This window comes from Homo sapiens, chromosome 9 (assembly GCF_000001405.40).
Source record: "Homo sapiens chromosome 9, GRCh38.p14 Primary Assembly".
In the NCBI taxonomy this organism is placed as follows: Eukaryota; Metazoa; Chordata; class Mammalia; order Primates; family Hominidae; genus Homo; species Homo sapiens.
This window is the reverse complement of record NC_000009.12, coordinates 130,257,527-130,283,435: the sequence shown is the minus strand read 5'-3', so window position 1 is coordinate 130,283,435 and position 25,909 is coordinate 130,257,527. Positions and strand designations below refer to the sequence as shown.

General features: G+C 49.3%; 1 protein-coding gene and 1 long non-coding RNA gene across 8 annotated transcripts in view, besides 2 other annotated features; one reads left to right on the top strand and one right to left on the bottom strand.

Annotated features, from left to right (window-relative positions):
* Positions 1 to 17,676, bottom strand: part of HMCN2 (hemicentin 2) — a 168,364-nt gene extending 150,688 nt beyond the window's left edge. For all 7 annotated transcript variants that reach the window (NM_001291815.2, XM_011518466.3, XM_011518465.3 and 4 more), the window contains exon 1: positions 17,299 to 17,676. In NM_001291815.2, the coding sequence (NP_001278744.1) occupies positions 17,299 to 17,557 (259 nt within the window). In that variant the 5' untranslated portion in view covers positions 17,558 to 17,676. The remainder of the gene's footprint in view (positions 1 to 17,298) is intronic.
* Positions 14,201 to 14,788: an enhancer, noted in NCBI's record as "H3K27ac-H3K4me1 hESC enhancer chr9:133030927-133031514 (GRCh37/hg19 assembly coordinates)". NCBI's record gives its function as "activates a minimal SCP1, AML or CMV promoter by ChIP-STARR-seq in naive H9 embryonic stem cells {active_cell/tissue: H9 hESC(naive)}" and the evidence as "EXISTENCE:reporter gene assay evidence [ECO:0000049][PMID:30033119]".
* LOC124902285 (uncharacterized) lies at positions 16,547 to 24,573 on the top strand. Its single transcript, XR_007061817.1, has 2 exons — positions 16,547 to 17,020; positions 20,396 to 24,573. It is a non-coding gene; the product is annotated as an uncharacterized LOC124902285 (long non-coding RNA).
* Positions 23,873 to 24,627: an enhancer, noted in NCBI's record as "OCT4-NANOG hESC enhancer chr9:133021088-133021842 (GRCh37/hg19 assembly coordinates)". NCBI's record gives its function as "activates a minimal SCP1, AML or CMV promoter by ChIP-STARR-seq in naive H9 embryonic stem cells {active_cell/tissue: H9 hESC(naive)}" and the evidence as "EXISTENCE:reporter gene assay evidence [ECO:0000049][PMID:30033119]".

Below are 25,909 nucleotides of genomic sequence, written 5' to 3'. Positions count from 1 at the left end.
CTGAGTGGGGGGTGGGTTGGGGGTGGGAGGAGGTACAGACAAGACGAGAATGACGGGGCTGTTTAACATTTGGCAATGCTGGGTGATGGGTACATGGAGATTCATTATTATCTTCTACTTATGTTGTATATGTTTGAAATGTTCACTAACAAAGAGTTTTTTTTTTTTAAAAAATAGCAGTAATGGAGATCCACGCCAACATAAGACAACACTACCAGTGCTGGACAGCAGGGCTGGCGTTCCGGGGATCCTGAGGATAAGCGCATAGTGGGGATTGTGTAAGGTCGTGTGGACATCAGGTTTCTTAGGAAAATATTTGAGTCCTCAGTGCACCCTATGTATTTTATTTTATTTATTTATTTATTGAGAAAGAGTCTCGCTCTGTCGCCCAGGCTGCAGTATAGTGGCATGATCTCGGCTCACTGCAACCTCCACCTCCCAGGTTCAAGCGATTCTCTTGCCTCAGCCCCCTGAGTAGCTGGGACCACAGTCATGTGCCACCACACCCAGCAAATTTTTGTATTTTTAGTAGAGACGGGGTTTCGCCATGTTGGCCAGGCTGGTCTTGAACTCCTGACCTCAAGTGATGCTCCCACCTCAGCCTCCCAAAGTGCTGGGATTACAGGTGTGAGCCACTGTGCCCAGCCTCAGTGAACTCTAATAACAGACTATTTTTAGTTCAGGAATTCTAAATTCCAGTTGCTGTAAACAAACTTTCATTCTCAGCAACCAGTTGGCGGAGCTCAGTCTTTCTTAGAAAGGAAAGCCTGTAGAATTATCCAGCATGCCTCACAATGATCGAGGATGAGCTGACACCAGCTTCCCCCGTGGCCCCGGCCCCTCTGCTCTGTGTTTATCCGTCTCGTCCCACCCTGTCCTCCCTCGCCTGCCCTGGCCATCCCCACCACGTCCTTTCCTCTGAACTACACAGTAATGAATTCAGCCCAACTGCAGCAGCTCAGTCCTCAGCCTTGGAGCTTGGCCAGATCTGACTGGAACCCTTCCTTTATCCTTTTTGGGCTATGGGGACTCTCAGGCAGAGCTCACTTCACTGCCCCAAGCCTCAGTTTCTTCATCTGTAGAACGAGACATGTAACAACGCCATTTCTCCTGACCAAGAACCATCACTGTGAGAATTCAGTGAAACCAGGTAGCTAAACCCCTGGCACAGAGCTTAGCACGCAGCTTGGCATGGAGCAAAGGCTCAGCAAATGGGAAGAGGCACTGCTAACGTGAGCGTGCCCTTGGCCAGGCTCCAGCGGGTGTTCTCACACAGTGCAGTCAAAGACAGTGTTGCTTCAATATGAGGTCCTCAAATTCTACTTTGACTAAGAAGAGCAATCATTTCACTCAGTGCTGGTTATTTCATTGTTAGGTAATCACACATGTTCACTGTAAAAAGAAATTAACATGACATGAATGATAATGACAGTTACTAAATACCTTGTAAGTGCCAGGCTATGTCCTGAGATGCTTCCTGTGTATCAGCTCACTAAATTCCTCCTAGCACCTGGTAGGTCCAAGTCTTTTTTTTTTTTTTTTTTTTGAGATGGAGTCTTGCTCTGTCACCCAGGCTGGAGCACAGTGGTGCAATCTCGGCTCACTGCAGCCTCCGCCTCCTGGGTTCAGGTGATTCTCCTGCCCCAGCCTAGTAGCTGGGATTACAGGTGCATGCCACCACACCCGGCTAATTTTTGTATTTTTAGTAGAGACGGGGTTTTGCCATGTTGGCCAGGCCGGTCTCAAACTCCTGACCTCAGGTGATCCGCCCGCCTCAGCCTCCCAAAGTGCTGCGATTACAGCAGGCATGAGCCAGTGCGCCAGTCCTTTTTTTTTTTGAGACTGAGTCTCACTCCATCACCCAGGCTGGAGTGCAGTGGCGCGATCCTGGCTCACTGCAACCTCCAGTTCCCAGGCTCAAGTCATTCTTGTGCCTCAGTCTTCCAAGTAGCTGGGATTACAGAGGTGTACCGCCATGCCGGGCTAATTTTTTTGTATTTCTAGTAGAGACAGGGTTTCACCATGTTGGCCAGGCTGATCTCAAACTCTTGGACTCATGTGATACACTTGCCTCGGCCTCCCAAAGTGCTGGCGTCCAAGTCTTACCCACATTTTTACAGAGGAGAACGTGGAAGCCCAGAGACGTAACTTGTCCAATGACACACAGCCAATAAGTGGCAGTGCTGGGATATGAGCCCAGGTCCGGATGACCTCAAGAACAGAGCTCTTCTTAACTCCTGCTCTCAGGGAAATAGACATAGAAATTCCTGACAGGCAAAACAAAGCAAAACAAAAAAGGGAAGGGGCACAACTGCCTGTATTTTTTTTTTTTTCAGACAGAGTCTCGCTCTGTCACCCAGGTTGGAGTACAGTGGCACAATCTCTGCTCACTGCAACCTCTGCCTCCCGAGTTCAAGCCATTCTCCTGCCTCAGCCTCCTGAGTAGCTGGGATTACAGGCGCCTGTCACCATGCTCGGCTAATTTTGTATTTTTAGTAGAAACAGAGTTTCACCATGTTGGCCAGGATGGTCTCGATCTCCTGACCTCATGATCCGCCTGCATTGGGCTCCCAAAGTGCTGGGATTACAGGCGTGAGCCACTGCGCCTGGCCAATTGCCTGTATTTCTACCAACCAGAGATAATAATTTTCATTTTTGTATATAACCTTTAATTTTTATATTCATATATTTAAATGTATAAATACATCTTACAAAAATACATACTATTTTAAGCAGAATTTTTATTGAAGTATAAATAACATACTATTTCTAACCTGATTCTTTTCACTGAACAAGTAAGTGTGAGCAAATTTTCAGAAAGTTACTCAGTCAAACATCATTTTAATAGGAAGGATCCCCTGGACCAGAGAGCCCTGGAAAGGATTTTAAGGTTGGCCTCTGTCTCAGTTTCCTATTGCTTCTGTGACAAATTACTAGAAACTTCATGCCTTAAAACAACACACAGGCCAGGCGCGGTGGCTCACGCCTGTAATCCCAGCACTTTGGGAGGCCGAGGCGGGAGGATCACAAGGTCAGGAGATCGAGACCATCCTGGCTAACATGGTGAAACCCTGTCTCTACTAAAAAATACAAAAAAAAAAAAAAATTAGCCGGGCATGGTGGCAGGCACCTGTAGTCCCAGCTACTCGGGAGGCTGAGGCAGGAGAATGGCGTGAACCCGGGAGGCGGAGCTTGCAGTGAGCCGAGATCGCGCACCACTGCACCCAGCCTGGGTGACAGAGCAAGACTCCGTCTCAAAAAAAAAAACCAAAAAAAAAAAAAAAACACACACACACACAGCTATGGAAGCCAGCAGTCCTAAATCCAAGTGTCAGCAGGGCTGCATTCCTCCTGGGGGTTTTAGGGGAGGATCAGTTTCCCTGCCTTTTCCAGCTGCTAGAGGCCTTAGATCATGGCTCCTTCCTCCATCTTCAAAGCAGCAGTAGGGCGTCTGTCTCTCTCCTGTGCTGCTGTCGTCACAGCTCCCTCTCTGACTCCAAGCTTCCTGCCTCCCTCTTATGAGGACCCTTGTGATTATAAAGGGCTCACCTGGATAATCCAGGACAATCTCCCTTCTCAAGAGCCGTGACTTTGTCACACCTGCAAAGTCCCTTTCACCATGGCAGGTCACACATTTGCAGGTTCTGTGCATTAGGACAGGCACATCTTTGGGAAGATATCATTCTACCCTACCACGGCTTTCACCATTTGGTCTTCAGCAAGAATCAACTTCAGAAAAGTCAATTTGACCACAACCTATGTGCCAAACATAACAATGTTGAGGGCCGGGCACGGTGGCTCACGCCTGTAATATCAGCACTCTGGGAGGCCCAGGCAGGCGGATGAATTGAGGTCAGGAGTTTGAGACCAGCCTGGCCAACATGGTGAAACCTCATCTCTACTAAAAACACAAAACTTAGCTGGGCGTGGTGGCACATGCTTGTAATCCCAGCTACTCAAAAGGCTGAGGCAGGAGAGTTGCTTGAACCTGGGAGGCAGAGGTTGCAGGAAGCCGAGACTGTGACACCGCACTCCAGCCTGGGTGATAGAGCGAGACTCCATCTCAAAAAAAACAAAACAACAATGTTGAGGAGGAAGAGATCTGAAGACCCCCACCTTTCTAAAGATGTGGAAACTGAGGCCCCAAGAGAAGACAGCCCCTCCATGTCAGGGGGGAAGATCTGGGGCAAGAGTTGACTGGATACATCACGCATGCAGTGACCCTGTCTCTGTCCTTCACCACGGCAGGTGGCTCATGCCTGTAATCCCAGCACTTTGGGAGGCCGAGGTGGGTGGATCACGAGGTCAGGAGTTCGAGACCATCAGCCTGACCAACATGGTGAAACCCTGTCTCTACTAAAAATACAAAAATTAGCTGGGCCTGGTGACGCATGCCTGTAATCCCAGCTACTCGGGAGGCTGAGACAGGAGAATCACTTGAACCCAGGGGGTGGAGGTTGCAGGAGCCAGGATCACGCCATTGCACTCCAGCCTGAGCAACAGAGTGAGACTCCGTCTCAAAAAAAAAAAAAAAGAAAAAGAAAATAGGGTCTCAGGCTGGGTGAGGTGGCTCACGCCTGTAATCCCAGCACTTTGGGAAGCCGAGGCGGGTGGATCACCTGAGGTTGGGAGCTCAAGACCAGCCTGACCAACATGGAGAAACCCCGTCTCTACTAAAATACAAAATTAGCCGGGTGTGGTGGTGCATGCCTGTAATCCCAGCTACTTGGGAGGCTGAGTCAGAAGAATCGCTTGAACCCAGGAGGCAGAGGTTGCAGTGAGCCGAGATCGTGCCATTGTACTCCAGCCTGGGCAACAAGAGCAAAACTCCGTCTCAAAAAAAAAGAAAAAGAAAAGAAAAGAAAATAGGGTCTCATTCTGCAGTCCCAGGAAGGACATGAATTTTGGAAGAACACTTTTCAACCTTGTACAATGTCCAGATCCACAAACGTTTCATTCCAATGCCTGTTCCCTTTGCCACTGACTATACTGCCTCCAAAAACAATGATGGCGGCCGGGCGCGGTGGCTCACGCCTGTAATCCCAGCACTTTGGGAGGCCGAGACGGGCGGATCACGAGGTCAGGAGATCAAGACCAACCTGGCTAACACGGTGAAACCCCGTCTCTACTAAAAATACAAAAAATTAGCCGGGCGTGGTGGTGGGCGCCTGTAGTCCCAGCTACTCGGGAGGCTGAGGCAGGAGAATGGCGTGAACCTGGGAGGCGGAGCTTGCAGTGAGCTGAGATCGCGCCACTGCACTCCACCCTGGGTGACAGAGCGAGACTGCGTCTCAAAAAAAAACCAACCAACCAACCAAACAAACAAAAAAACAATGATGATAGTGGTGGTGGTGATGATGATGATGGTGGTGGTGGTGGTGGTAATGATGATGGTGGTGGTGATGATCGTGGTGGTGGTGATGATGATGGTGGTGGTGGTGATGATCGTGGTGGTGGTGATGATGATGGTGGTGGTGGTGGTGATGATGATGATGGTGGTGGTGATGATGATGATGGTGGTGGTGGTGATGATGATGGTGGTGGTGATGATGATGGTGGTGGTGATGATGATGATGGTGGTGGTGGTGGTGATGATGATGATGGTGGTGGTGATGATGATGATGGTGGTGGTGGTGATGATGATGGTGGTGGTGATGATGATGGTGGTGGTGATGATGATGATGGTGGTGGTGGTGATGATGATGGTGGTGGTGGTGGTGATGATGATGGTGGTGGTGGTGATGATGATGGTGGTAATAGTGATGTTACCATTGTTTTGATGTTTACTAAGCACCAAGTTTTGTTCTAAGCATTTGACGTGCATTTGCTCATAAAAGCCTTACAACAACCTATGAGGTCTACTATTTATTATCCTCATTTTATAGATGAGAAAATGGAGGCTTGGGGAAGTAAAGTGAGCTGCCCAAGGAATTACAACCAGGAAGCAGTAGAAATGAGAGTCCAGTCTAGGTCAGTCTGACCCCAGTTGCAAGCTGTCAACCACCCATGAAGCTGTAGACACTCAGAACTCATTCCCCAGACCCTTGTCCTGTGCCTGCAGAGGGAGGGAGATTCAGGACTGAGGGTGGGCATTTGCCAAACAGCTGGGCAGATGTGGCGTGCAGTCCCTCCGAGCAGGCCTGCTGGCTGCAGGGATGATTAAACCCGTGACCTTGGCTCCACTCAAGCCCTCTTCCAGCATGTGAGCCCCAGAAGCCTGGCCTGGAACCACCAAGCCACAGGCGGGGTTTTTTCCACTGGGCAAGAGGAGGGTGTGGGGCCAGCCCCATGAACTGTCTCAGACATGTGAGGAGCACGCATGGGTGGAACGGCCTAACCCCTCACCCACGTGGTGCCCCACTTCCTCGCCCAGCTTCATGTGTCCCGGTGGACACGGTCAAGGCTGCAGTCAGGCACTCAGAACCCAGTCTCAGAAATATCTCAGGCCGAGGCCTCTTCCTGGGGCCTGTCTTGCCCCTGCTTCTCTCTCCAAGTGGGGCTGGAATTTTGGAGCCAGCCCTGGATCCACATATCCCCCTCCTCCAGCTGCAGTGACCCCAGGTAGGTCCCGCACTCAGCCACCACCATCATCAAACCACCTCCCCTCCCCAAGACTCAGCTATCCCATCTCTAAAGGGCAGGGGTTGGAGAAAGTGATGTCAAGCCTGCTAGAATTCAGACAGCCCCTGAGCCCGTCTGGGCAAACGTGATTCCCTCAAAGACACCCTCAAGGGACAGACACAATGGCACAAGAGCCAACTGGGTGGGTGGTTCTGCCCAAAGAGCCAAAATGGCTCCAGAACCTTTATCTGCCTCCTCTTCAGTGTCCAGGAGTCCAGCAAGCAACTCTCCTCGGGGCCTCCTCCCCAGGGCCTCTCCCTGAACACCCAGTGATGGAGCCCAGCTCCACCCTGAGTGTCCCTGTCAACTCCACCTGCTAATGTTCAATCAAGGAGATATTTCTGCCAACCTCACAGCCATTGTTTCTGCTGTTCCCTCTGCCTGGAGTGCTGTTCCCCGTCCTGCTCTGACCCTCCCCCACCCACCCAGCTTCTCTCCACCTCAGCTTCAACGTCACTCCCTCAGGAATGTCATTGCGGGCAGCCACAGCTGTGATGAGATGCCTAGGAACTTGGCTATTCACCATGGGCCTTTCTGGCTGGACTGCAGGTGCCAAGGCAAGCCAGCACCCTGCCTGGCCCCCAGGGGACCCTTGAGAATTGAAGATGGAGTAAGTGATTAATGGGTGCAGGGGGATCCCCAGGAACCAGACCAGGTCAGGCTGTACAGGCTGACCTGACACACCCACCCACCCACCCCTGCCCCTCCAGGGACCTCCTGCCCTCAGACCCATGGCTTCCTCACCTTTCTGGTCCTCCCCCTGCAGGCACCCTGGGCCATCTCTTTCTAGCACCCCTCCCCTGCACAGTTCCTCGCCTGGAAAGCCCTTTGATGAGGTGTTATTTGGCCCAGCCAGGCCACTCCCCGCCAACCCATCAGGCACCCTGGGAATGACAGGGACGTGCCTAGTCCAGCTCACACCTCACGGGCCGCTCAGACCTCCAGGCCTCCAGGCCTCCAAGGAGGGACGTGCCCAGGGCCAGGTTAAGAGAGTGAATTTTCCCCTCAGAAGAAGGACTGATGGTTTCTATTTCATGAGGCAAGGCTGGTTAATAGCAATGTCACGGCCGGGCGTGGTGGCTCACGCCTGTAATCCCAGCACTTTGGGAAGCCGAGGCAGGGGGATCACTTGAGGTCAGGAGTTCGTGACCAGTCTGGCCAACATAGTGAAACTCCATCTCTACTAAAAACACAAAAATTAGCCAGGCATGGTGGCAGGCACCTGTAATCCCAGCTACTCAGGAGGCTGAGGCAGGAGAATCGCTTGAACCCAGGAAGCAGGGGTTGCAATGAGACAATATCGTGCCACTGCACTCCAGCCTAGGTGACAGAGCAAGACTCCATCTCAAAAATAAATTAAAAAATAAAAATAGCAATGTCACTCAGGGTGACAATAAAAATCACAGGTACACACACACAACCCGGAACATGCAACCAGAGTCCCAGCCGTTCCAGCTCCCAGGCAAGTGTGTGGCCCAAACACATCTGCTCTGCACGCCTGCATCCTCACCTCTGACCGGCGAAAGCCACTTCCTCCCTTGGGAAAGATGATGGAGCCGCAGGAGCCCCAGAGACACCCAGGGAGAAACTCCAGAAGACTGGAAGGTCACCAACGATCAATGAATGCTGATTAAGGCAGGACACCATCTCCCACCTAGGAAACTAGCAAAAAAACAAGGAAAAAATGGCAGAGTGATGTCCCGGATGCTGGCGGCGGTGTGGGGAAACACAGTCTCATCTTCCGTGGGTCCAGGCGCAAGATGGCGCAGTGTGTTTGAGGGCAGTTGGATGGTGTCTTTCCAAATGGAAAATGCTCCTATACTTTAACAAAGCAATTTTATCTCTGGGAATCTATTCTGTAGATATGTTTGCAAATATGTGTGTGTTTATTGTGAAGAAACTGAAAGCAGCCTATTTTCCACAGTAGGGGGATGGGTGGGTAAATTAGGCTAATTCCTCCAATGGCATCTTATAGAGTCATTAAAAACAATGGGGAGGATCTCTGTTTCCTGACAGGAAGAGATATTCATGCCATATTATGTGGGGGGAAGAAAGCAAGTTGTAAAATGCTTTACGTACTATAATTTTTTAACGTAGGTATGTTTAACACGAGTGAATGTATACACATACATGCACACAAGATCTGGAAGGACACCAGAGTGTTAAAAGTGTTTTCACCTCTTGAGAGTAGTAGTAGAATATTTTACAAGCATGTATTAATTTTGAGATTCTTGAAGGGAATGGATTATTAACTGAAAAAGCTAAACCCTGATGGTAAAACTTGACAAAAAACACAAAGGAAAAACACCACTTACTGATTGCACACATGAAATGGAAAAAGGCAAAACCTCTAAGCAAAATGCTGGAAACTATCATCCAGCTGTATATTAAAGAATAATCCACCGTGACCAAGCAGGACTTATGCAAGAAATGCAAAAATAGTTGAAAATTAACGCATTGGCCAGGCGCGGTGGCTCACACCTGCAATCCCAGTACTTTGGGAGGCTGAGGTGGGCAGATCACCTGAGGTCAGGAGTTCGAGACCAGCCTAGCCAACATATAGTGAAACCCTGTCTCTACTAAAAAATACAAAAATTAGCTGGGCATGGTGGTGCACACCTGTAGTCCCAGCTACTTGGGAAGCTGAGACAGGAGAATTGCTTGAACCAGGGAGGTGGAAGCTGCAGTGAGTCAAGATCACACCACTGCACTCCAGCCTGGGCGACAGAGTGAGACTCCGTCTCTCAAAAAAAAAAAAAAATTAATGTATCACATTAATAGGTCAACAGGAGAAGGATCTTATAAACATTGCAACAAAGCAGAAAATCACTTGCTAAAATTCAACACCCATCCCTGTTTGGATTTTTTGTTTTGTTTTTGCTTTTTCTTGTTTTTTGAGTTTATTTTTTTTTAGTAAAATTAGGAATGAATGCATCTTCTTTCACTTGATGACAAAAACTCAAACCAAGAATCAATATCATACAATGAGTGGTGCAAAATCAAAAGCAAGACAAGATGGCCGGGCGCGGAGGCGCACGCCTGTAATCCCAGCACTTTGGGAGGCTGAGGCAGGCGAATCACCTGAGGTCAGGAGTTTGGGACCAGCCTGGCCAACATGGTGAAACCCTGTCTCTACTAAAGATACGAAAATTAGCTGGGCATGGTGGCGCATGCCTATAATACCAGCTACTCAGGAGGCTGAGGTGAGAGAATCGCTTGAGCCTGGGGGACGGAGGTTGCAGTGAGCTGAGACTGCACCACTGCACTCCAGCCTGGGCAAGAGAGTGAGACTCAGTCTCAAAAATAAAAAAAAAAAGCAAGACAAGATAACTGCAGCCATCACCATTATGTGGTATTGTTCTGACAGTTTTTGCTGATAAATAATACAAAACACTTAAAACGTGAAATATTTGATTGGAAAAGAAGCGACAGTATTATAATTTGGACAAGCTGTGACTCTCAACCTAGAAAACTGAAGACATTAACAAAAAATTAGAAGTAGTTAAAAAAAACTTTAGTAAAAGAAGCTGGAAAGAAAATTAATATATGAAATGAATTCCTTTCCAACATACTAGCAATACTCATTTGTAAAAAATGTAATGGAAAAAAATTCTGGGCAAAATAGTAACAAAACCAAAACTATCTTAAAATAATCTTTAAAAAAAAAAGGGTGGAACCTATGAGAAAAAAAACCTGAATCTTTACAAAGAAAAACTATGAATCTTTACTAAAAGAAATAAATGTGAACAGAACAAGAGGCATGTCTGATGGATGAGAACAATAGAGTTTTTTGAAAATGATAACTCTTCCCCAAAATCAAGATTTAACACAATTCCAAGAAAAATCACAGTAGAAAAAAATTTTTGGAAGTTGACAAGTTTTTCTACATGTCATCTAAAAGATAAAATTCTCAAGAAGCTTTTGCAAATGAAGAATATGAATAAAAAGAAGATGCTCGGCCAGGCGCAGTGGTTCAGGCCTGTAATCCCAGCACTTTGGGAGGCCAAGGTGGGTGGACCGCTTGAGCCCAGGAGTTCAAGACCAACCTGGGCAATATGGCAAGACCCTGTCTCTACCAAATATATATACACACACAAAAATTAGCCAGGTGTGGTGGCATGTGCCTGTGGTCCCAGCTACTCTGGGGGTGAAGTGGGAGGATCACCTGAGCTTGGGGAGATGGAGGAAGCAGTGAGCCATGATCGAGCCACTGCCACCCAGCCTGGGCAACAGAATGAGACCCTGTCTCAAAGTTTAAAAGAAGAAGAAGAAGAGGCCAGGCATGGTGACTCACACCTGTAATCCCAGGACTTTGGGAGGCCAAGGCAGGAGGATCCTTTGAGGTCAGGAGTTCAAGACCAGCCTGGCCAACATAGTGAAACCCCATCTCTACTAAAAATACAAAAATTAGCTAGGCATGGTGGCACACATCTGTAATCCCAGCTACTAAGAAGGCTGAGGCAGGAGAATTCCTTAAACCCAGGAGGTGGAGGTTGCAGTGGGCCAAGATTGCGCCACTGTATTCCAGCCTGGGAGACAAGGTGAGATTCCATCTCAAAAAAACAAAAACAAAAAAATTTATTTTTTTTAAAAAAGAAGAAGAAGCTGAAGAAGGTGTTGGCCTAAGTAATTTTGGAAATGAATGGAGTCTGTTAAGACTAAAAGCAAAAGAACTGTATTCTAGTTAATAAAGCTGTTTCCCGTGGGGGTCCCACTCAACAATTCTGAAACCACTTTAAATGTATACTGGAACTAAACAGTAAAGTAAAGGGATGGTGGGTGGCAGGAGACAGATTTCTGACTGTTAGACGTGGAGGTTCTAGATAAGGAACAGGAAGAGGTTTGACTCTCCATATACCTAATACATCTAATCCAATATCGAATATAAATTAGAGTTGAAGATATCAGCATGAACTCATGTTTAGCTTAATATAGACACGGATGATTACATATAAAACTATGTATAGATACAAGTACAAACACAGGTTATATATACAACATACAACTCCTTGCCCTGTCAGCTAAGGGAGGTTTTAGAAGTAACAGCACCTCAGTACCAACAAACACACTTAGCACGGATATCCTGGTTTCCAATCACAGGAAGCAGGGCTCCTTGGAGAAATAGCGAATTCAAGGACTGAGGCAGGAAATACCTAAGATGAGCCTGGAGCCACTACCAGTGCCAAAAAGTAGGAATGTGGGAAAAACGAAAACAAAAACAAAAACAAAAAACACACGTGCACAACAAGAGGGGTGTCCAAGGGACACAGAAACCAACTGAACGAGCTCCCGATGACCACAGTCAGAAACATTTGAGGAGCAAAATAAAGTGGTTTAGGATCATAACACAAAGTATAAAATAGCTAGCCATGATTCTATGCTGATGTAGACAAGTGATTGAATTAATTAATAAATGGAGCAGAAGAGACAACTCTCATGCAGAATAATTCCAAATAATCCATGTAGATAGATACTCCCCCACCAAGGACGTGGATCATGGCTCCCCGCTTTTTAAACGTGGGCTGCACACAGTAAGTGACTCTCTTCCAGAGAGCCCAGTATGGAAAGAGAGAGGGGAAAAAGAGTAACTCTATAGTGGAGAAATCTGAAAAATACTATCCGAGTCAGGCAATCAAGCTTAACATCAACAGCGTTCCATCACCGTGATAGCGTGTGCTCTTGATATGAGACGATGAGAATGGTATTTTAATGCTGGGTCTTCCTCCCAAAACATTACCCAGTCTAACTGGAAAAAAAACATTAGACAAATAATGACTGAGGGAAAAGAGCTGACCAGTATTCCTCAAAACTGTCAATTTCACCAAAACGAAAGTAAGCCTGAGAAACTCACAACCTGAGGAGCTGAAGAAGACACAATTAATGTATCCTGGATGGGATCCTGGAGCAGAAAAAGGGCATTAAAGAAAAACTGAGGAAGGCTGGGCACCGTGGCTCATGTATGTAATTCCCCTGCTTTGGGAGGCAGAGGCAGGAAGACCACTTGAGGCCAGGAGTTTGACATCGGCCTAGGCAACATAGCAAGACCCCATCTCTACAAAAAGTTAGCCAGGTGTGGTGGTGTGCACCTGTAGTCCCAGCTACTCAGAAGGCTGATGTTATTAACATCTTACATTACTATGCTACATTTATCACAACTAATAAATAAATATTGATACATAATTATTAACCCAAGTCCACACTTTATTGAGATTTTCTGTTTTTCTTTTTGTTGTTGTTGTTTTCTTTTTGAGACAGGGTCTTGCTCTGTCGCCCAGGCTGGAGGGCAGTGGCACAATCATAGCTCCCTGCAACCTTGACCTCCTGGGCTCAAGCAATCCTCACACCCCAGCCTCCCAAAGTACTGGCATTACAAGTGTGAGCCACTGAGCCCAGCCTACCAATTTTTAAAATTTCAAGTTGAAGAATTAAATGTGAAGAGAGGAAAATAAAACAAAACACACACATACACAAACCCTAGAAAATCTGCCTAACTGGTTTTGTGATAGGGAAAAAAAAAAACAAACAAACAAACAAACAAAAAAAACCTTTATAAGCACCTAAGTGAAGAAATCACAAAGAAAAAAAACAATAGATTTCTCTACATAAACATTTAAAACTTCAAAACTTCTAAGAATTACAAATACTAAAAGACAAGCAACCAGGAAAAATACTAAGTACACTTAAAAAAAAAAAGAAACAGTTAAGGCCAGGCATGGTAGCTCATGCCTGTAATCCCAGCATTTTGGGAGGCTGAGGTGAGTGGATCACTTGAGGTCAGGAGTTTAAGACCAGCCTGGCCAACATGGTGAAACCCTGTCTCTACTAAAAATACAAAAATTAGCCGGACGTGGTGGCACGCATCTGTAGTCCCAGCTACTCAGGAGGCTGAGGCAGGAGAATCACTTGAACCTGGGAGGTGGAGGTTGCAGTGAGCAGAGATCACGCCACTGCACTCCAGCCTGGGCAACAGAGCGAGACTCCATCTCAAAAAACAAACAAACAAACAACAACAAAAAAAAAAACAGATAACATCATCAACATAAGGTCCTCATTCCAACTAAAAATAAAAGCACTAAAACTCCCATGAAAAAATTTGCAAAGAAACTGACAGTTTACAAAATAAGAAATTCATACCAAAAATATCTAGTGAACGCTTGAAAGACATATTGAACCTCACTAGCAATTGAAACAAGAAGATATCATTTTCCATTTTTGAATTAGAAAAGAAAGGTTTTTATATTAATTTCCAGTGTTGGGGGTGGCTGTGCTGAAACGGGCCCCTGAAACAGTTCTGGTGGAAGTTCAATCTCCTGAAACATTCTGGAAAACAACCTGAAGAGTCGTCCCCCCACTCGGTGTGTTAAAAATGGCCTAGAATTCCACTTCAAGGAACTTAAGCCTACGTAAAAACCAATCAAAGATGCAGACAAAGATTTTTACAAGAGAGTTTCTTAGTAACATTTTAATATAGAAACACTGAAAACAACCTAAATTTTAGCACTAGATCTTGGTTTCTACTACTAATTTCAAAAAAAAAAAAAAAAAAAAGGAACCAGGGCTCTTTTGCAATGATTAGCAAATTTCTAACTTTTCTACTCTGGGAACATACAATTTTTAATTTAGAAACTGTAAAATTTCCGAAGCACGGATCTTAGTTTGTCTCCAAGCAGGAACAGTCTAGAACCGCCACGATTTGCCCCGCACCCGCCTCTTGGGGTTTAGGAGAGGGGCTTACTTTAAGAAAACCCTCCCGCTGTGCAGCTCTGGGAGCTGGAACAAACAGCTACAACCCGTTTCTCAAGTTCCTCTTCCACCAAAGGGGATTCTATTTGCTGATTCAAAAGGCACAGCCAGGCCTAAATCACAGTTCCAAACTGCTGCTCAGAAGCCCTCGGTGGCTGTTCACAGCCCATAGAAGGAAAAGGAAATCCAAGTCCGCCAAGGCATCAATCGGCCCTGCACTCACGGCTGTGTCCAATCTTGCCCTTCCCCACTTTCCCGCTCCACTCCTCCCGTGCACACCCAGCTCCCACACACACCTGTCCCTCCACATCAGCCCTCCTGTCCATCCCCCGGTCCTTACCCAGCCAGCTCCACATGCCCCAGGGAGTCCTCTCTCCCTGCTGTGTTCCCAGCACCTGGCATCTGCCAGGCAAACGGCCAAAACCCAGTAAACATTCACTGATGTTCTTCAGGCCCTACTCACAGGCTGCTTCCTCAGGGGGGGGTCTTTCCTTAGCCCCCTTCCTTGCTTACTGGCCCATGGCCAGGAGTTGGCACCTGAGCCACCACATGTCACTTTCTACTCCCCACCTGGCCTGTCCCAGAGGGCTACCAGCCCCGTGGAATGAACCATGCCCCTTTACACTGTGAGCCTCCCTGGGCTCTACACAGATCAAGGGCTCCATGGTGCTGAAGTCTCCCCGACGTCTGAACCTGGGGGTGTCACTCGGAAGCTAATTTGGGGAACCAGGATGGAGAACTGGATTTTTGTTTCATAGAGGATGGAGTGAGGGGGCTGAGCCTGGTGAAGGCTGGAGAACTGCCCACCAGCTCAGTGCCCAGAGAGGAGAGGGAAGAGCAGGGGTGGGAGGTGGGCTTCCTGAGGCTCATGGCCACAAATGGGGCAGCGAGGACAGTCTCAGGAACCCTGGTCTGGGCTTCAGGACACGACATCTGGCTCTGAAAGGCTGCTATCCTGCTGGGCCACTGGAGCCACATATTTCAGAGACAAATGTGGGTTATGATTCAGGAATGACGCCACCCTGGCAGGTGGCCTTGGGAAAGTCTCATCAGTGTCCTGAGCCTCAGTTTTTCCAACTGTAAGATAAAGGGGTAGATTCAACGATCTCTAAGCTCCTTCAGTGTGATGTCTTCGGAAGCCCCAGAACAATTCAGAAAGTGGGTGAGAGAGCTGGGGAGACGGAGGGTGACCTGTGTTCCAGCTTAAGTGCCAGAACACACTTCACAGCCCACCTCCTCACAACCCCCAGCTTGGTTGCCCCCTGACTCCAAGATAGAAGCTGTCCATCTGATGTTCCTAGAAATCTTTGTCTAGAGCCTTGGCTTCTGAGCTTTGAGCTGCAAAACCCTGTGGTGCCCAGAACTCCTGGAAGCAGAGGGGCCTCCAAGCCCCTAGACCACAAACTCAGCCTGAAGCCTACGTAGAACTATGTCTTCCCACTGTTTTGTCCATTTTCTAAGAACCTGTAATGGTATTGTGATTAATAAATGCAAATCCCTCTGCAAGGACTTGCTGGCTCATACAGCCAATGGCCACCGTCTATTTCTTCAGCACAAGAACACTCTGCAGTACAATTTAGCAAGGAATCTGTGCGTGTGTGTGTGTGTGTGTGTGTGTGTGTGTGTGTGTGTGTGTTTTATTTGGGGGGGTTGTTTGTTTGTTTGTTTGTTGCTTTATAAAGCTATCCTTGACAGAGGGGTGAATGATAGAGAGATGTGATAAAGCAAAATATGACTCAGAGGCTCTCGGTGGGCATAGGCGGTTCCATGTATGTTTCTCCCCATTTTACTGTAAGTTTGAAATTTTCCATTAAAAAACGCTGGGGAGGCTGGGTGCAGTGGCTCATGCTTGTAATTTCAGCACTTTGGGAGGCCTAAGTGGGAGGATCACTGAGGCCAGGAGTTTGAGACTAGCCTGGGCAATACAGAGAGACTCCATGTCTATAAAAAATTTAAAAATCAGCCAGGCATGGTGGCGTATGCTTGTAGTCCCAGCTACTTGGGAGGCTGAAGCAGGAGGGTCACCTGAGCCCAGGAGTTCGAGGCTGCAGCGAGCTGTGATCACGCCACTGCACTCCAGCCTGGGTGACAGAGCCAGACCTTGTCTCAAAAAAAAAAAGAAGTGTGGAAAGCAGTCCTGCTCCTCGCCGCTGGGAACCTGCAGCTCACTCAGCAACCGCTGTCCCTGGGACTCTCTACAGTGGAGCGCCCAGGGACCCTTTCAAGGGCGCCCCTAACACTGAGCTGCAAGGCAGGGGGTTAAAGGGGAAGCAGAGGTGCAGCGTGCAGGGAAGAAGGAGTTAGGGCGGAACTCAGCTGTGAGAACACAGCAGGTGGAGGCCACGGGGCCAGCACACGAGAGGCGCTGCCCTTTCCCCAGGGAAGACAGGCGAGGGGACAAGACCAGCAAGGGTGAGTCCGCTCCCCACTGCAGGGTCCGTGGTGGACCCCATTTCGTCTCAAGGCCTGCCTCTGGGAGCCATTCCGGTCTCCAAGCCTCCGCTGGGAGCGAATTCTAAGAATTGGCCAAAGGAAAAGCCCTGCAAAGGCTCGTAGCGTCCCAAGTCCTCGAGAGGAATGCCTCATTTCAACATCTCAGCAAGTCTGGGAGGCCATCCTCACCATTTCATAGGTGGGGCCGGTAAGGCGCGGGAAGGTGAGGTCACTTGCTGAAGTCTCACAACGGCGCGGGAGAGCAGGGAGAGCAGGTTCCTTGAGCGAGGGAATGTTCCAGGGGGGTGGGAGGGAAGGGACAGCTGCAAGGACTGCCCAGGTGGCCAGGGTACCCGCAGCGCGGATATGCCGAGAAGGCGCGCCCGCCAAGCCGCGGCGCAGCCCACGACGTCCAGGTGCGTTCGGGGCCAACTGAGGGGGTCAGGCAGGTGAGAGCACCTCGAAGGGGGCGCCCGGCGGGCGGGGGTGCGGGGGCGCTACCTGGGTCGTGGAAGGGCACCAGCGCGTAGTTGGCGATGGCCTGGCTGCGGCGGCTCAGACTGCGTTCCAGAATGCGCGAGGCGCCATCGATCACCTGCATCAGTTCGTCCCACATGGAGCCGGTGACGTCGAAGACGAAGGCCAGGGTGGCGTCCCCCGTGGTGGGGGGCATTACCGTCCCGGGCGCCCCGGCCACTGCCACTGCCACTGCCGCAGAGACCGCGGTCAGCAGCCGCAGGAGCGGCGCCCCGGGCATCATGCCGAGCGCGGCTCTGGCTGCGGGTGCTGCGGTGGAGGCGCAGGTCGGAGCTAGCCGGCCGCCCCGGTGCACACGGCGGCTGCAGGCAGTGCCTTGCTCCGTCGGGCCGCGGCCAGTGCGCGAGGGATAGGGGCGCGCGGCGGGTCCGCCTGCTGGGCGCCCGAGGCGGGTCCTAGAGCCCACCCCGTTCAGGGTCACGGCCCGCCTCCTCCCCTCCCCCAATCGTGACTCAAACTTTCCCAGCCCCACTGTTCGCCCGTCCAGATCCGAGGTTAGGGGAGGACGCGGGGCGGAAGGCAGAAAGGAGCTGGGGCCCCGGCCAGGGCAGCGAGGGATGGGGACGCGCAGGATGCAGTGGACACCTGCGCCTCCCGCCGATGGCGCGCCGGGGGCGGGAGAGAGGGAGGGGGAGGCGCAACGGCCCCAGTCTCCCTCCAGCCCCAACTCCCCCCACCCCTGCCTGGCCAAAGCGGACCCTGGCTTCTGCAGCTCCCTCCACCCAGTGCTGCGACAAATCCCCCCACCCCCGCCCCCCAACACACACACAAACTTTGCCATTCGTTTTCCTTCTGCCAGGTGGGCTCTGTGCTTCCCGGTTATTGCAAGCACTACTGCTATTATAATCAACAAGAAGTCTTGTTGTTAACCATGTTCTAAGCATTTTCAGTTATTTGCTTGAAGACTGGCTGCAACCCTAGAATGAAATACTAACCCTAAGCCCATTTTACAGAGGAGCAAACTGAGGCTCAGAGAGGTGAAGGCATTTGCTCCAGGTCACTCAATTATCAAACAATGAAGACAAGATCAGAGGCCAGATCTAGAAAGACTCCAAAGGCCCAGGGCTCTGCTGCCTCCCTTGTGTTAAAAGACATTGTCACACGGTCACCTGGTGACTCCAGAGGATGAGGGCTATCCTCCTGCCCATCCACCTCCCCAGCCCCATGGGCTGCATGTGTGGATGCTGCATCCCACGTGAGGTGCTGCCTGGGACTGGGTTCAGCCTCCTGCTCCGGGCAGATCCAGATGGGCTCAGGCACGGCTGCTTATCTCAGGCTGTGCTCTCGGGACCTGTTTCCAGGCCTCTCTCCCCGCTGGCCTATAAGCCCCTTGAGGGCACGGCTAGGCCTTGGTCTACACTGGATGAGCCCCTAGTTCCCAGCCCATATCCAAGCACATGGTGGGGAGGCACTAATGTTGTCTGAATAAATAAACCGCAGCTTTTGTGGAAATGCCGGGTTTTGAGTCATGTGCGAGAAGGTAGCTAATCCCCTCAATCCCTCCTCCGAGAACACCATGCTCCCAGAGACATGGCTGAGGGCTCTAGGTCTGTGAGTGATGGGGGGCGCTTTCTTGAGCCCCTGTCCCTGCAGAGTCGTCAGCCAGGAAGCCACCCCTCCGCCACGCTCTTCCTTTCCTCTTCGGTCTCAGCTCAGACCCCACCTCTGAGGCTGCTTCTGAACCCTTGCCCTGCAACCCACATTTCTCTGAGCCCTGTCCTGGCTCTGACCACACCGTACAGCCCATGTCATGTCTGGGGCCCTGCCTCTCCCACTCTGGCTGTGAGTTCTATGGCAGAGATCCTGTGCCCGGCACATGCTAGGTGCCCAAGGAAGGTGTGCCACCTGAATGGGGCAGCAGGCATCAGAGAAGCTTGGCAGCTGGGCATTGGCCACAGCGGGAGGTAGCACACATCCGCAGGGACTCTGTTCTAGCCCAGAGCTGGGGTCCGAGGGAAATGGTCTCCCACGGAGCTACCAGTCTCGTGGAATATAGTGCCACCAGGTGCCCAGACCCAGCAAGGGAGTGGAACTTGCAGCCAAGTTCACAGGAAGTTGAGTCACCTGCACTTCTTAATGCTGGCTCTTTAAATCTCCCTGGGCTAAGTCTGTGATAACCCCCAGAGTCTGGGCAGGGCTGGGCCAGCTGTTGGAGAAAGAGGTCCCAGCTGTGGGAAGGCAAAAGCCAACAGGAGCCAGGAACCAGGCAGGACTCATAAATGGTGACATTTCAGGCACAGTGCAGGGAACATTTGGGGACAAAGGTCCTTCGGTCATTCACACCACAAACATTTGCTGAGCCCAAGCTGTGGTCAGGCACTCTGCTAGGCAGCGAGAGCAGCAGCGGGGGGTGGGGGGATGAAGATGCAGAAGACATGCTTCCCACTCTGGGGAGAAGAGACATGTAAACAAATAATTCTAAGTCAATGAGGTAAGTGCTAATAGAGGAATTACCAAGCACTCTGGGAACTCAGAGGAAGGAGTGACTGAGCCTAAGAGGTCAGAGGAGGCCACAGAATGAGCCTGAGAAGTCTTAAGGAACAAGCAGGGAAGGGTATTTGAGGAGCAGGAACAGCATGTGCGAAGGCAGGGAGATCTGAGACACCCACTGACAGGTAGCCCTATGTAACCAGCCAGGGGATGGCAAGCTGAGAACAAAGACTAGATCACAAAGGACCTCTGGTATCTTGCAAATGCACTTGGGGTTTTTCTGAGGACATTGGGGAGCTATTGAAGAATGCAGGCCAGAAAGCCATCTGATTTGATGTGCATTTCAGACAGGTCACAGCAGAGAAGTTTGGAGGGTAGACCTTGTAGATGCCAGGAAGCCACAAATCTACCCATCAAGGATGTAAGGGCAAAGCTGGCCCCAAAGAAAAAAAGCAAGATACCTTTCCCCGAGCTGGTCACCGGGGGCAAAAGGAATCATGGATTTCAGTCCTGAAACAGCCTGGCTACCTGGAGCAAAGCCCTCCCCTCCCGGGAGCTTGGTCTCTTCATTCATAAAATGATTCTGAGACGGAAGGGAGGCTAACAAGATAACCTCTGATGTTTCTTGCAGCCTTACCACTCTGGAACCACCACCCCGGTCCCTCAGAGACAGAGGAAGGATGCGAGGGGAAGTCTAGGCTCATCTTGGCACTGCTTCCCCCAACTGCCAGGGAAGAGAGGCTTGAGCAGGCACCTGTCATCTGTCTGCCATAGCTCCATCAAAGAGTAATGTCTGGCCTGACCCCAATGCCCATCCAGGATGACTGGAGGTGCTGCCCCAAGCACCATCCTCTCCGAGTGCTCGGGGCTTCCCAAGAATGTAACTATGGTCGCATAGCAAAAGTGAGCAAGGCTGCAGTGCAGCAGCCCAGAGAAAACACAACTGAACCTCATCAATCAATTTCCATCCCACCACCTTGACTTGACTGCAGGCTGCCTGGGAACCCCACACTTCTCCTCTCTTTCCAGAAGAAGCGGTCTCAGCGGAGTTGTTTCCTAACGTAGCACATTTGTTGCAGACAGCTACAGAGAGCAAAAATATGCTATGGGCCATCCACTTAAAGGAAACAGGCACGGGTATTGCTCAACCTGCCGAGTTCAGCCCTGGCTCATGAACTCAGTTCCATGCACTGCGTCTGCACTGGGGATCCATGTGCAGAGGGGCCAGATCAAAACCCCGGACTCTGAATACATGGTCAGTGCACGAGAAATGACTTCTCCCTACCAATCGCCCTTCCTTACTCTTTCCTATTCCCTGCTCCCCAAATGCCTTCTAGTCTTGGCCGCATTAAATCTGTGATTCTAGGCTGGGCGTGGTGGCTCACGCCTGCAATCCCAGCACTTTGGGAGGCCGAGATGGGCAGACCAGCTGAGGTCAGGAGTTTGAGACCAACCTGGCCAACATGGTGAAACTCCGTCTCTACTAAAAATACAAAAATTAGCCAGGCATGGTGGCAGGCATCCATAATCCCAGCTTCTTGGGAGGCTGAGGCAGGAGAATTGCTTGAACCTGGAAGACGGAGGTTGCAGTGAGCGAAGATCGCACCACTGTACTCCAGCCTGGGCGACAAAGCGAGACTCTGTCTCAAAAAATAAAAATAAATAAATCTGCAATTCTAACATCCCCCACTCACTTCATCCCACCCCAGCCCTCATCCTCAGGGAATCTTCTCTGTTCCTCTGAGAGAGTAAAAATACTAAGGGTGGAGAGGATTGGCCAGAGCCTCGGGGAAGGCCAGACCCCGTACTGACCCCCTCCTCAGGTGCTCCCTCAGCAACCTCTAACGTCAACATCTCCTCTTCATGGAACAGATGAGACAACTGAGGCTCCGAGAGGTGAAGTCCTGTGTCTGGACTGGGCTGTGTGTTGGCGTGTGCCTTCCCACAAATCCTGTGACCCACCTCACCACTCCATGCTGCCCCAGAAACATGGGGCAATGATTTGTACAGGAATCCCAGCAAGCAGAGCTTCTTCTAGAACTAACCAGGAGCTCGGTGTCTTCCTCAGACACTCATAGTCCTCTCGAGCAATTCCCCAGGCTGGACTCTGACTCAAGCTTCAGACATTAAGCACCTTTGAAAGGCTGGAAAGTCACAGTCTACTCATATGTCACCAGAAGGCCTGGGCAAAAAAAGGAGGTAGAGAAATAACCCCGGGAATGAAGCAGGGGTTCTGCCCTCCCAGGGCCTGAGAATTAAAAACTGTTTCAAATCCTTGTTTCGTTCCTCTAGGAAAAATTAAAGAATTAAGCGAGGGCCTGGAAAACAAGGCTAGCAGGAAGTCGGAGGAACTGACAAACAACTGGGAAGATGAAGCTACCGAGGATGGGCTGCAGGAGCCAAGAAGTTAGAATCTGCAAGCCTGCGCCGAGTGCTCCAGTCAGCCAGCACTAGATGATTTACTGCTGAATCCAGCCCCTCTATGGACCAGCCTCCAAGTCACATGGACCGTAAGGAATGGTTTGAGACCATCCCAAGAAATATTTGGGCAGCTCAAGAGATGCAGAAACTGTTGCCCATCCCCATGTTTCAAGAACAAACAAGTAAAAGCTAAACCAGGGCCAAGCGCTCTGAGACTCGCTCCCCGCCACCCAGCCCTAGCCCAGTGTCCCCTGGACAGGGCTCATGCCCTGCTGAGCCCCTGATGCTGAAGTCAGGGGAGAAGGAGCCCGCCTCATTGGCAGGGGTCATTCCTCACTGTTCAGGCAGTAAACTAAGCCTTCTTGTCATTTATGGCTATTTTGTCACCTTTACCATTGTCATCAGTGGCTGGCAAGAATATCCACGTGAGTTGAAGTTTACTGTCTGTCCTTTTATTCTTCTGTCCTCTTTCTCTATCTCATAATTAAAAATTCCATTTAACTGTTTTGTGTATTTTGGCAGACACTGTTGGCTTCCTATCCTAAATTCTTCCCTACCTTCTTCCTGGAAAGCCTGGCTTTCCCTCTGGCTTTCTGGTTCAGGTGACTATTCTTCCTCCACACAACTTGAGGAAGGGTAACCCTTTTCTCTCCCCAAAGGAAACCCTGATGGACTAGGTCACCCTGTAATCCCATTCCCCTTGCCAGTGACTGGGCTGGGAATGGGCATTTGATGCAATTTTGGCCAACGGGCCATGAAAGAGTGTGTACTCATGTGTCTTCAAGAGACACAAAAGAACCAGGTCAGAGGACTTCTACTGCCTGCAAGTCTTGAAGTCTTATTCCAAAGCAACAGTAATTAAGACAGCATGGGAAAGGCAAGAGGAAAGACAAATAAGTCAATAGAACAGGACAGAGTCCAGAAATAGATCTATACATAGATAACCAATTGACTTTTTTTTTAAATTTTTGTGGGTACATAGTAGGTGTATATATTTATGGGGTACATGAGATGTTTTGATACAAGCATGCAATACGTAATAATCACATCATGGAAAATGGAGTATCCATCCCCTCAAGCTTCAAGCATTTATCTTTTGTGTTACAAACAATCCAATTATACTTTTAGTTATTTTTGAATATACAGCTATTATTGACTACAGCCACCCTGTTGTGCTATCAAATACTACAGCCAATTGATTTTTTTTTTTTTTTTTTGAGATGGAGTCTCACTCTGTTGCCCAGGCTGGAGTGCAGTGGCATGATCGCAGCTCATTGCAACCTCTGCTTCCAGGGTTCAAGTGATTCTCCTGCCTCAGCCTCCTGAGTAGCTGGGATTACAGGTTCCTGCCACATGCCCAGCTAATTTTGTATTTTTAGTGGAGACGGGGTTTCACCACGTTGGCCAGGCTGGTCTTGAACTCCTAACCTCAGGTGATCCACCCACCTCAGCCTCCCAAAGTACTGCAATTACAAGCGTGAGCCACCGTGCCTGGCCCAGCCAATTGATTTTTGAGGAAAGTGCCAAGGAGGAAAGGAAAGTCTTTTTCAACGAATGGTGTTGAATATCTGTATGGTAAAACAATGAACCTGGGTCCCTGCCTCACACCAGACACAAAGACTAATTGCAGATGATTTACAGGTCTCCATGGAAAAGTGAAACTAGAAGGCATCTAGGAAAAAAAAAAAAAAGACACAAGGAAGAAAGAAGTGGAGCCCCTCTTCTTCCACTTAGTGATGTGATGTCTGCATAGGAGGGGAGGAACTGTACAGCCATCCTGGAACCATGAGGACACAGCCCATGGACAGCATGGAAAGAGAAACGAGCTTCAGAGTTGCCCTCCGTGTGGCTTTCTTGCTATGTGAAATGATGCATTTTCCTTCATTGTTAAGCTAACTGCATTGCATTCTCCATTACTTGCAGCCAAAAGCATTCCCACTGAGACATGCCTGTCCTTTTGTTTTTCCCTCCTATGGTGTAGGGTTTTGCATAACTATTTACGTTCAGGCAATAAACACAAAACCATGAACATTGACCTTCATGTGGAATTTAAGGATTGCTAAACTTTTTTCTGTACCTAGATTTCTCCTGTGTTGATTTTGGAATCCAACTCCTGGGGCAGGCGCTGAGGCACCCTGAGGAAAGGGCTGTGATTGTCCAGTGCCAAAAGTGACCCACAAAGCAAAGTGTCTCCAAAGGACAGAGACCACAATTGACTCATTCTCATTCATACCCTTGAACCCAAGTACAGCATCTGGAACACAGCAGGAGCTCAATAAATAAGTGTTGTATGAATGGATGGATAGAACAAGAAAAGTCCAGGCCCTTTCATTCATTGTATTATAAGCTTGCAAGCTTAATTAGTACAATTAAAATACATAAGCAATATCTTAGTTTCTTTAATAATTCCCCTTAATTTACACGCTCTCTTTATTTGAGTAAGTTCCCCAGGTGTTTGAAGAATGTTATTAGAATTGGACAGTCCCTGTGTTGGAGACAGGGCCATTGAAGCTGGTATTTCTTCTCCCTTCCCTTCCTTCCTCCCTTCCTTTCTTTTTTTTTTTCTCCAAGATGGGGTCTTGTTCTGTCCCCAGGGTGGAGTGCTGTTGCATGATCATGGCTCACTGCAGCCTCAACCTCCTAGGCTTAAGCGATCCTCCTGCCTCAGCCTCCTAAGTAGCTGGGACACACCACCATGCCTAGCTTTTTTTTTTTTTTTTTTTTTTTTTTTTTTTGATACAGGGTCTGTATTAGTCCATTCTCAAACTGCTAATAAAGATATACCCAAGACTGGGTGATTTATAAAGGAAAGAAGTTTAGTGGACTCACAGTTCCACATGGCTGGGGAAGCCTCAAAATCATGATGGAAGGCAAAGGAGAAGCAAAGGCACGTCTTACATGGTGGCAGGAAAGAGAACTTGGTGCAGCGGAACTCCCATTTATAAAATCACGAGATCTTGGCCAGGCGTGGTGGCTCATGCATGTATTCTCAGCACTTTGGGAGGCTGAGGTGCGCAGATCACCTGAGGTCTGGAGTTCAAGACCAACCTGGCCAATGTGGTAAAACCCCATCTCTATTAAAAATACAAAAATTAGCCAGGCGTGGTGGCGGGTGCCTGTAATCCCAGCTACTTGGGAGGCTGAGGCAGGAGAATCACTTGAACCTGGGAGGCAGAGGTTGCGGTGAGCTAAGCTGAGATGGCGCCACTGCACTCCAGCCTGGGTGACAGAGTGAAACTCTGTCTCAAAAATAAGTAAATAGATAAATAAATAAATAAAACCATCAGATCTCATGAGACTTATTCACTACCATGTGAACAGTATGGGGTAAACCACCCCTATGATTCAATTACCTCCCACCGGGTCCCTCCCACAACATGTGGGAATTATGGTAGCTACAATTCACGATGAGATTTGGGTGGGGACATAGCCAAACCATATCAGGGTCTCACTATGTTGCCCAGGCTTTTCTTGTACTCCTGGGCTCAAGCATCCTCCTGCTTTTGCCTCCCAAAGTGCTGGGATTACAGATGTGAGCCACTGTGCCTGGCCAAAGCAGGCATTTCTATACAGCCTGACCTGCTCCCAAATCAGGACCCCTCCTGTCACAGCCACGGTCCCCCTCCACCTACATTTCCACCATTAGCACCATTTCCTCTGTATTAAACAGCAAAGATGGAGAGATTTGCCCCAGAAGCCCCTGTGATACTGCACTGGGCTCAGA